A 12,214-nucleotide genomic window follows, 5' to 3' on the forward strand; every position below is an offset into this window, starting at 1 on the left:
GAAGCCACTTGTCCCTACTCTCAAAGGGTTCCCAGTATTGTGGTAGAGACAGGCATATAAATCCAGATGCGGAATATGATAATTTCAATTTGCTGATATCTGTGTGGAAAAGTTGTGAGAGATAAGCTGGAAACATGCACTGGGATGAGATGAATCATGAATGCAAAAGTAATCCTAAACATATATAAAAACCAATATAGCAGCAGCAGCACCAACAAAGCAGAATAGATGCAGGTCAGTGCATGGAACAATGTCCTCCAGGTCCCTTGCTGTGCTGGGCACTAACCCTTTAGTGGCTGGGTCCAAGAGTTGGGAGGGGCAGCTGGGGCAGCAGGAGGGGTCTTGAAGAGGCTCAAAGAGCCTCTCAAAGGATCCCATAATTTTAACAAGAAGTGTGGTCATATCAGTGAATACTAGTTAAATACAGCCCTGCTTCTATGTCATGTGAATGAGCATGAGTGCTACCTTGTGGTCATCCAGGAGCCCCAAAATGTCATTGGGTTGGAAACACACTTTAGCAGCAGTGTGGAAGATGGGCTAGATTGGGGCACCATGAAGTCAGGCAGATAAGTAGGAAGGCTTTGTAATATACCAAGGAAGATGGATGATGTCCTGAATTACTGAAGTGGCAGGCCCAAAGATGATTACATAAATCTCCATTTCTATAGATCTCCTTGGTTCCTAAGAATTCTCCCGTCTTTTTATTCTCTTGGCTACAATCTCCTAGCCCAATGCAAACTTACACACACACATGCATGCTTGTGTGCAGATCCTGCTTCAGTATGTATACTCAACTAGTGGCTGGCAGGCTGTAATTATGGCAGGCAAGAGGCCTGCCAAGAAAAATTCATTCAAATACTGAGGTCATCCTATTCCCAGCTGCAAGAGAGTGGCTACAGTATAAACTCTGCCTTCATAAACCCAAACTATATTTTTGGATAGTCTTCTCTATTTTTCCAAGCACAGTCACACAATTATCTCATTTGTTCTCTTAACAATAGTCCTAGGAGGTCAGTAAGGCTGATATTATTTAGCTCCAATGTAGAGACGGGAAAAGTCCTTCAAAGAGAAAGGACTTGCCTAAGGTCATTCACAATGAGTCAGTAGTGACTCTACGACTAAGATGCCTTCTACTTCTTGGTCCCATGTTCCTCTCAATCTTTTCCATATAACCTCCTTCAGATACAATTTCAGGTCATTTTTGTTTCCACCTCCTGCAAACTAATATTCATTCTATCTATTCTAATAGTCATTTCTAAGAGAATTCTGTGGATAAATCAGAGTCGCCAATTTTATCCTCCAAGTCCTTGCTCAGGTCTCACCATTCCCTCCAGGAAATTTTCCCTGGTAACTATAGTTCAGTAACCTCAACCCCTTCTTCTTTAAATATTTACTCTCAGTATTAATGTGTTAGTGCTTTATGCTCTCTTGTTGTGTTCAGATTACTCCATCTGTGACTTGTCCTTTTCTTCTCCCCGCCTAGCACAAGATTTGGCACATAAGGGAACACTTACTAAAGTGTTGTTAATGTATGGCTTGATCCATTAAAGCCTAACTCTGGCATCAGACTGCCTGCAATTTCCAGTCAACAACAAAGCACTCTGAATATATGTGTTTGTGTGTGTGCACACATGTGTGTGCGTGTGTGTCTGTGCACCACTCATCTAGTGACCCTGAGGGTAACTAACTCAATGCTGTCAAAATGCAGCATCAGCACATAGTTATTTTACATTCCAGTAGGAATTGAAGCAAGGAAACTTTTCTCCCTAATTTTTTCAAAATAAATATTGCTCTGGTTCCAAATGGTATATTTTTGACATCTTGTGTACATTTCTGAAATAGAGTCCAGATGAGAAACCAGCTAATGTGTATGTCCATTCCAATCTGAGAACAGTAGATTCCCACTCATAGGCAATTTTGTTTCTGAAATCTCAATTGCAGAAAAAAGACTAGGGGGAGCATGTTTGCAGGAAGGGGTAAGGCCGACATGAAGTGACTGCTAGACAATCTGAGGCTTGGGGGCAAGACAAGGACATGGGGAAGAAAAGAAGGGGATGTGAAAATTTCTTCCCTCTCCTCTTATGATTGCCCACACAGATTTTTAAGGGACATGAATGGGAAAGCAGCTGATGGCTGCTCCCAACAAGGCAGGATAATTGCAAAATATCATTTAGACATGAGGGTGGCCAAAGGCAGGTGAACCCCAAGAAGACAGGTAAACAGGCCCCAGAGAACACCATCCACTTGGTTGTCTGCTCAGAAACTCCTCCTTAGAGTCCCCAACTGAGAGTAAAGGAATCATTTTTCTATTTCTTCTACAACATACAATATTGCCCAAGTACCTACTATGTATTAAGTACTGTGCTTGGCACTTACCAATATAAACCTTTTTGCCTTGTAGTGATTCATACTCCCATTTTACAGATGAAGAAACTGAGAGATAAAGTCTTTTACTCACCATCCCATAGTGTGTCTGACTCTATCATGTAGGTTCTTTCCATTGCACAACTCTGCCTTCCCAAGGTATGTTCAGTGAGATCTGGCAACAAGAAGAAAGCTGAAAACCCCTCCCTAGCAAGCCTAAGGTTTCACAGAGGCACTTAGTCTTAAATGAAGAGTGGGATTATAACCTAATGGAGAAAAAGATGGAAAGCGCATTCATTCCTGGCTGAAGGAATAGCAGATGGAAAGGCACTGATGTGGGGAAGAAAAAAAAAATGTTCAAGAAAGTATAAATAGTTTTGTGGGATCACCTGAGGGTGAGGACAGGTGATAGAATATGAAGCGAGAGCAACTAAGGCCAGATTATAAAGGGTTTCATTTCATATGCCATGTTAGGGAATGTGGGTTTTCTCCTGGAGATGAGATAGACTGGAAGAGAGGGAGTACTGATATCAGATCTCTGATCTCTGTTTTGAAAAGATCACTGTGGCACTGACTGCATGCAGGGACACCGAGCCAGGAAAGTCTGGCAATAATCAAGGCAAGAGTCAAGATGGTGAACCAAGTGAGGCCTAGCTCAGAAACTACTGACTCCAGAACAGTTGTTACCAGAAAGGGGTCTGGATTCAGACCCCAAGAGAGGGTTCTTGGATCTTGCACAAGAAAGAATTCAGAGTGAGTCTGTAAAGTTAAAGCAAGTTTATTAAGGAAGTAAAGGAATAAGGAATGGCTAATCTGTAGGCAGAGCAGCCCTGAGGGCTGCTGGTTGCCCATTTTTATGGTTATTTCTTGATGATATGCTCAACAACGGGTGGATTATTCATGCCTCCCCTTTTTAGACCATACAGGATAATGTCCTGATGTTGCCATGGCATTTGTAAACTGTCATGGTGCTGGATGGAGTGTAACAGTGAGGATAACCAGAGGTCACTCTGGTCGCCATCTTGGTTTTGGTGGGTTTTAGCTGGCTTCTTTAGTGCAACCTGTTGTATCAGCAAGGTCTTTAGGACCTGTATCTTGTGCCGACCTCCTGCCTCATCCTGTGACTAAGAATGCCTTAACCTCCTGGGAATGCAGCCCAGCAGGTCTCAGCCTCATTTTACCCAGCTTCTATTCAAGATGGAGTTGCTCTGGTTCAAACACCTCTGACACAGTCAGTCACTGCAAATTAGCCTGAATCTTTAAGCTCAAAGCTAGGATTCCAGGCTTTGCAGCATCTACCCCCATAGCCCTTAAATACTGTATGTGTTGCTTTGGCCTCAAAACTAGTAACAAGTCTTGCTTTGTCCTCTGGGGCCTCCTCATTTGTCTCCATTTTCTAAGCTGGCAGCTTTGTGGCTCCCCTGGGCCTAGCCTAGCCCAGCTGGCTGGGGGTGGTGGAGAGAAGTCAGGTAGGATCCAAGCAGAAAGGGCCATGATTAGCACATGTTTCACATTCCCCACATTGCATGGCAATTCCCAACCAAATCCTACAGGATTGTTTTCTTAAAGATTTGGGAGGAGTTTGGGGCTTCTTCTCTTTCTTTCTTCTTTGTTTTATTCTGTTTCTGGACTGCAGCTATTTCCTCTGTCCTTGAGTTAAGTAATAGCAGAGAGGGAGTTAAAATGAAAGTTTGCAGCAATGCAGAAAAGATGTTTCTAGAGATGTCCAGAGGAAGGAGGGAAATCTAGTATGGGGGCCCACAGCAATGTTCTGGGAAGGCCAGGGAATGTAGCTGCTGGGGGTGGGGCTTCAGTTACAGCAAATGTATAGAAGTTAGGCTAAAACCTACCTAAGGGAAGGGGTCCCTGACTCTCAGGCCAGCTTCAGTCCTTGACTTGTTTGCATTTAGCACTCAGTAGATTTTCCTCTGGTCATCAGTACCTGCTAAACCCCAGCGCAGCCCTAAGGTGTGGACTCTCCCTTTAACCAAGGAAATTAAAGCATTAAAATGAACCAAAAGCATTTAATGGGTAAAGGCAGCCAGCAATACACTCACGGGAATCCCACACTCCTAAATAACAGGAGGGTCTTGCAAAAGCCTTCCAGGCCTGCTTCCTTCCGTCCATCCTTCCTTTCATCTCTCTCTCTCTCTCTCTCTCCATGAATTTCTGAAATAGAACCCAGATGAAAAACCTGTTCATGTGTATGTCTGTCCCATCTAAGAACAGTAGATTCTGACTCATGGGCAATTTCATTCCGGAAATCTCAATTGCAGAAAAAAGATTAGGAGAGCAGGTTTTATTTTATTTTCTATCCTCCCTTTCCATCATTTCCCTTGAGATAGCATACATCAATAAGTAGCATGTAGGGAAGCACTGATTGTTTCTTAATTTATAGCTTTATTGAGATATAATTTACACACAATAAAATTACCATACCATAAAATTCATCCATTTAAGCGAAATGCAATGATTGTTTAGTATATTTAAAGAGTTGTACAACCATCACCACAATCTAATTTTAGAACATTTCCATTGTCCTCAAAAAGAAACTGTAAAGGTATTAATTAAGAAATGATCAGTGCTTCCGTACATGCTACTTATTGACATATGTGATGTCAAGGGAAATGATGGAAAGGGAGGGGGATAGAAAATGAAATAAAACCTGTTCTGCTAATCTTTTTTCTGCAATTGGAATTTCAGGAATGAAATTGCCCATGAGTCAGAATCTACTATTCTTAAATGGGACAGACATACACATGAGCAGGTTTCTCATCTGGGCTCTATTTCAGAAATGTGGTGGGGGGAGGGGGGGAGGGAGGGGGAGGAGGGGGAGAGGGGCAGGGAGGGAAGGAAGGAGGGAGGGAGGGAGGGAGCAAGGGAGGGAGAGAGAGAGAGAGAGAGAGAGAGAGAAACAGAGGGAGAAACAAACAAGCCTGGGAGGTTTTTGCAAGACCCTCCTGTTCTTTAGGAGTGTGGGCTTCCTATGAGTGTACTGATGGCTGCCTTTACCCATTAAATGCTTTTGGTTCATTCTGATGCTTTAATTTCCTTGGTTAGAGGGGAGAGTCCACACCTTGAGGGTATGCTGGGGCTACAGCAGGTGCTGATGATCAGAGCTTTGAGCTCATATACAGTCAGTCCATGTTCCTTTCAGGCCTCTGAGCCCATGGTAACTCTTACAGTGGAGGGTAAGTCCGTCCCCTTCTTAATCAATACAGAGGCTACCAACTCCACATTATCTTCTTTTCAAGGGCCTGTATCCCTTCCCTCCGTAACTGTTGTGGGTATTGACGGCCAGGCTTCTAAACCTCTTAAAACTCCCCAGCTCTGGTGCCAAATTGGACAACATTCTTTTATGCACTCCTTTTTAGTTATCCCCACCTGCCTAGTTCCCTTATTAGGTCGAGACATTTTAACTAAATTATCTGCTTCCCTGCACAGCCACACCTCATTGCCACCTTTTCCCCCAGTTCAAAGCCTCCTTCACATCCTCTCCTTGTATCTCCCCACCTTAATCCACAAGTGTAGGACACCTCTACTCCCTCCTTGGTGATGGATGATGCACCCCTTACGATCCCATTAAAACCTAATCACCCTTACCCCGCTCAACGCCAATATCCCATCCCACAGCACTAAAGCCTGTTATCACTTGCCTGTTACAGCATGGCCTTTTAAAGCCTATAAACTCTCCTTGAAGACAGAAGAAGAGAGCCATGAGCCAAGGAATATGGGCAACCTCTAGAAGCTAAAAAAGGCAAGGAAGTTCTCTCCTTGAGCCTCCAGAAAAAAATGAGCCCTGCTGACATGTTGGTTTTAGCCCAGTGAGACTCATGTCATATTTCTAATGTACAGAACTGTAAAATGATAAATTTGTATTTTTTAAGCTACTAAGTTTGTGGTAATTTCCTATAACAGCAGTAGAAAACTAATATAAATTGTCCTTTCAGTTTCTTTCTTTCTTTCTTTTTTTCTAGACAGAGTTTCGCTCTTGTTGCCCAGCTGGAGTGCAATGGCACGATCTTGGCTCACTGCAACCTCCGCCTCCTGGGTTCAAGTGATTCTCCTGCTTCAGCCTCCCGAGTAGCTGGGATGACAGGCATGCGCCACCACACCTGGCTTATTTTATTTTATTTTATTTTTTGTATTTTTAGTAGAGACGGGGTTTCTCCACATTGGTCAGGCTGGTCTCGAACTCCTGACCTCAGGTGATCCGCCTGCCTCAGCCTCCCAAAGGGCGGGGGTTACAGGCATGAGCCACCGTGCCCGGCCCCCTTTCAGTTTCTAGACAGTGTCTTTTAAAGAACAAAAGTTTCTAATTTTGATTAAGTCCAATCTTTATCCATCTTTTCATCACTTATGTCTTTGGTATTGTATATAAGAAATCGTTGCTGATAGAACTTCCAGAATAGGGATATGAGGAGCTCGGTGGATCCTCTCCCATTTAAAGTCTCTGGAAATTGTCCTAATGGCTTATGGAAAGTGAAGAAATGTTTATTCAAGTAAACTTAGTGAATTTTGGTAAGAACAATAGGAGTCAGTGGCATTTGATACATGACCTGTTCCTAACCCATCTCTATCCCAGTTTTATGGATACAAGGCAGATGTGGCTAAGAAAAGAGGAAGGCTCCCTTTATCCCCAGCTCATAGTCAAGACTAAGACCCAGGCTAAGGTTATTCTAGGATTTCACCCCAGAAGGGGAAATCCACTGGCACCTCTTATCCTCAGTAGGCCCTTGTTATGAAAATGCTGCTCTAGGAAGCTGCAGCTAAGTGGACTGGGTCTCTTTCCCCCACCTCGCTCCACTCATAAGCCAAGGGCTCTGCTCTGGCAAAGCAGGCCAAGAATACTAAGGCCCCAATCACCTCACCACAACTTGCTCATAGGGCATAGGTTCCACGGTGGGAGGCGCAAGCAGAGAGTATCAGGGCCATATCTCCCTCTGATATGGTTTGGCTCTGTGTTCCCACCCAAATCCCATCTCAAATTGTAATCCCCACGTGTTAAGGGAGGGACCTGGTGGGAGGTAACTGGACCATGACGGCAGTCTCTCCCATGCTGTTCTTGTGATAGTGAGTGAGTTCTCACAAGAGCTGACAGTTTTAAAGTGGGGCACTTCCGCTCTCTCTTTCCTGCTGCTATGTAAGATGTGCCTTGCTTTTCCTTCACCTTCTGCCATAATTGTAAGTTTCCTGAGGCCTACCCAGCCATGTGGAACTGTGAGTCAATTAAACCTTTCTTCTTCATAAATTACCCAGTCTCAGGTAGTTCTTTATAGCAGTGTGAAAACAGACTAATATAGAAAATTGGTATTGGGAGTGGGGCACTGCTATAAAGATAACCTGAAAATGTGGAAGTGACTTTGGAACTGGGTAACAGGCAGAGGTTGGAACAGTTTGGAGGGCTCAGAAGAGACAGGAAGATGTGGGGAAGTTTGGAACTTCCTAGAGACTTGTTGAATTGTTTTGACCAACATGCTGATTGATGGTGTTATGGACAATGAAGTCCACGCTGCGGTGGTCTCAGATAGAATGAAGAACTTATTGGGAACTGGAGCAAAGGTCACTCTTGCTATGCTTTAGCGAAGAGACTGGTGGCATTGCCCCTGCCCTAGAGGTCTGTGGAACTTTGAACTTAAGAGATGATTTAGTATATCTGGCAGAAGAAACTTCTGAGCAGCAAAGTGTTAAAGAAGTGACCTGGCTTTTTCTAAAAGCGTACAGTATATGCATTCACAAAAAGATGATTTGAAATTGGAACTTATGTTTAAAAGGGAAGTAGAGCATAAAAGTTTGGAAAATTTGTAGCCTGAGCATGCAGTAGAAGAGAAAAACCCATTTTCTGGGGAGAAATTCAAGCCTGCTATAGAAATTTGCATAAGTAACGAGGAGCCAAATGCTAATCACCAAGACAATGGGGAAAACATCTCCAAGGCATTTCAAAGATCTTCATGGCAGCCCCTCCCATCACAAGCTGGAGGCCTAGGAGGGAAAAATGGCTTGGGCCGGGCCCAAGGCCCCACTGCATTGTGCAGCCTCAGGACATGGTGCCCTGCATCCCAGCCACTCCAGCTCCAGCCATGGCTAAAAGGGAAAAACGTACAGCTCAGGCCATTGCTTCAGAGGGTGCAAGCCTCAAACCTTGGTGGCTTATCACATGATGTTGAGCCTGTGCACAGCAGATAAGAGCTGAGGTTTAGGAACCTCTGCCTAGATTTCAGAGGAGGTATGGAAATGCCTGGATGTCCAGGCAGAATTCTGCTGCAGGGCAGAGGCCTAATGGAGAACCTCTACTAGGGCAGTTTGGAAGGGAAACGTGAGGTCAGAGATCCCACACAGAGTCCCCATTGGGGCACTGCCTATTGGAGCTGTGAGAAGAGGGCCACCATCATCCAGACCCCAGAATGGTAGATCCACTGACAGCTTGCACTGTACAACCTGGAAAAGCCACAGGCATTCAATGCCAGCCCATGAAAGCAGCCATGGGGGCTGTACCCTACAGAGCCACAGGGGTGGAGCTGCCCAAGGCCTTCGGAGCCCCTCCTGCATCACTATGCCCTGGATGTGAGACATGGAGTCAAAGGAGATTGTTTTGGAGCTTTAAGATTTAATGAATACCCTTCTGGGTTTCAGATTTGCATTGGGCCTATGGCCCCTTTGTTTTGGCCAATTTCTCTTATTTGGAATGGGAACATTTACCCAATGCCCATACCCCCATTGTATCTTAAGAGTAACTAGCTTGTTTTTGATTTTACAGGCTCATAGGCAGAGGGAACTTGCCTGGTCTCAGATGGGACTTTGGAATTGGGCTTTTGAGTTAATGCTGGAATGAGTTAAGACTTTGGGGAATTGTTAGGAAGGCATGATTGGTTTTGAAATGTGAAAAGGACATGAGATTTGGGAGGGGCTGGGGCAGAATGATATGGTTTGGCTCTGTGTCCCACCCAAATCTCATCTTGAATTGTAATCCCCATGTGTCAAGGGAGGGACCTGGTGGGAGGTGACTGAATCATGGTGGCAGTTTCCCCCATGCTTTTCTCATGATAGTGAGTGAGTTCTCACAAGAGCTCATGGTTTTAAAGTGTAGCACTTCCTCACTTTCTCTCTCTCTTCTGCTGCCACGTAAGATGTTCCTTGCTTTCCCTTCACCTTCTAGATGATTGTAAGTTTCCTGAGGCCTCCCCAGCCATGGGAAACTGTGAGTCAATTCAACCTTTTTTCTTCATAAATTACACAGTCTCAGGTAGTTCTTTATAGCAGTGTGAAAATGAATATACCCTATACCAGGACTTGCTCATATAATAGGGGTGTCAATCTAGAAGAAACAGGCCGCTCTTGCTACATTCAGCTCCAGTGCAATGATCCACAGCTTCTGCCCAGAGGGAGAGGCAGGTAATAAAAACAGAAGGCTTTAGCAGTTCTGCCTGAGGGGATTGACTTTATTTGGAACAGAATATGGAGAAGTTTATGTCTGACAATGTTATTAAATCAATGGAGATCTTGGTGAGCAATTTCAAGAAGGCTGGTAGCTCTGTGATACTAGTGAAATGCAAACTGATCAGAAGTTTAAAAGACAGAGCCATAGAAATAGCCCAAATCCCAGCACTTTGGGAGGCTGAGGTGGGCGGTTCACGAAGTCAGGAGATGGAGACCATCCTGGCTAACACGGTGAAACCCCGTCTCTACTAAAAATACAAAAAATTAGCCAGGCATGGTGGCGGGCACCTGTAGTCCCAGCTACTCAGGAGGCTGAGGCAGGAGAATGGTGTAAACCTGGGAGGTGGAGCTTGCAGTGAGCCGAGATTGCACCACTGCACTCCAGCCTGGGCAACAGAGCAAGACTCCATCTCAAAAAAAGAAAAAGAAAAAAAAGAAATAGCCAAGCAGAGCCCTCCTGGGGTCACCAACATCACTGGACATCTGAAAGCCTGTGTGCATAAGCTAGGCTACACCTAATCAGAAGCAATCAGAGTTAGAAGGAAGGCAGACTTGAAAGTATTCTCCAAGCCACACACAGATCCATTAGATCAAGGGGCTTTTGCACAACTCCTGATGAAACACTGGCTGAACAATAGGCTATTCTGACCCAAGGGCTGCTTCTAGGAATTCAGGTCTAAAAACAAAGTAAAACTAATCCCTAGTGGTCTGGTACATTGTGTGCATGCCCAAGGCTGCACCCTCATAGAAAAGACCAGAGAGAGAACATCTGGCTAAATGTAAAAAAAAATCATAAACACCCTCAACTGTGAAAACAAACTCAAAGCTACAAATACATGCAAAAGTAAAGAGTCTAACTGACTAAGGGGAGTAATCATAACCTTTGGTGATTAAATGGTTCATGTGCACCCAAGGGTGACCCCTAAGAAGACAGGATAAAAAATAAGAACAAAGAAAAAAAATTGGGGAATGGATATTAGAGGCTGCATACACTACTGGAAATAGACTATCAAGTCAAAAAATAAACAGACAACCAAACAAATAACAGCAAGTCCCAAAAATTGGGGGTGGGGGTGGGAGATGGTCATTACTTAAAGCTGCTACACATATCATTGATGTGGAAAAGAGATCACATATTATTTTAAATGTCCAGTTTTCAAAAGAAATTACAATATATGAAACAAAGAGGAAAGCACAGCCCATACATAGGAAGAAAAGCAGGCAAAAGAAACTGCTTTTGACAGAGTCCAAATGTTGGACTTACCCAAGACTATAAAGCAGCTATTATAAATATGTTTAAACAACTGAAAGAAAGCATGCTTGAAGAATGAAAGAAAAGTATGATAAAAATTCATCAAATAGAGAATAGAAAAAGAGACAGAAATTATAAACAAGATAGCATTCTGGAGTTGAAAATAGAATAATCCAAATGAAATATTCACTAGAGATTTAAGTTGGCAGAAGAAAGAATCAATAAACTTGAATACAGATGAATAGAGATTATACAAAATGAACAGAAAAAAATAAAGAGAAACAGAGCGTCAGAGAAATATGGTACACCATTAAGCACACAAACATACATATATTACAAGTACCATAAGGAGAGGAAATAAAGAGACTCAGAAAAATTAGAAAAATAATGACAATAACCTTCTCATATTTGATGGACAAGGCTAACTTACAAATCCAAAAGGTTCAACAAACTCCAGTAGAAGAAACTCAATGATCCACACCCAGATGCATCATATTTAAAATATTAAAACTAAAGATAAAGAAAAAATCTTGAGAGCATCAAGCAAAACACTACTAATCATATCTAAAGGAAACCCCAATAAGACTAACAGTGAACTTCTCAATAGAAAAATATGGAGAACAAAATTAGTGGGATAACAAATTTAAAGTGCTGAATGAAAAAAAAATACATCAACCAAGTATCATATACTCAGTAACTATCTTTCAAAAATGAAGGCAAAATAATGATGTTCCCATATAATAAAAACCTGAAAGAATTCATTGCTAATAGACCTGACTTACAAGAAAATCTAAAGGAAATTCTTCAGGCTAAATCAAAGTGACACCAGAGAGTAATTTGAATTTTCATGAAAAACAAAGCATTGTGTTAAAGGTTAATTGTGTAGGTAGTGACAAGGAATATATTTCTTTACCTTTTATCTCTTAACTGATTTAAAAAGCAATTGCAGGCTGGGTGCAGTGGTTCACACCTATAATCTCAGCACTTTGGGAGGCCGAGGCGGGCGGATCACCTGAGGTTGGGAGTTCGAGACCAGCATGACCAACATGGAGAAACCCCATCTCTACTAAAAATACAAAGTTAGCCGGGAGTGATGTCACATGCCTGTAATCCCAGCTACTCGGGAGGCTGAGGCAGGAGAATTGCTTGAACCCAGGAGGT

General features: G+C 43.1%; 1 protein-coding gene across 14 annotated transcripts in view, besides 1 other annotated feature; it reads right to left on the reverse strand.

Annotated features, from left to right (window-relative positions):
• Positions 1–12,214, reverse strand: part of SHROOM4 (shroom family member 4) — a 238,661-nt gene that overhangs the window by 142,611 nt on the left and 83,836 nt on the right. The window lies entirely within an intron of this gene.
• Positions 8,027–8,562: an enhancer, noted in NCBI's record as "NANOG hESC enhancer chrX:50469171-50469706 (GRCh37/hg19 assembly coordinates)". NCBI's record gives its function as "activates a minimal SCP1, AML or CMV promoter by ChIP-STARR-seq in naive H9 embryonic stem cells {active_cell/tissue: H9 hESC(naive)}" and the evidence as "EXISTENCE:reporter gene assay evidence [ECO:0000049][PMID:30033119]".

Source organism: Homo sapiens, chromosome X (assembly GCF_000001405.40).
Source record: "Homo sapiens chromosome X, GRCh38.p14 Primary Assembly".
Taxonomy (NCBI): domain Eukaryota; kingdom Metazoa; phylum Chordata; class Mammalia; order Primates; family Hominidae; genus Homo; species Homo sapiens.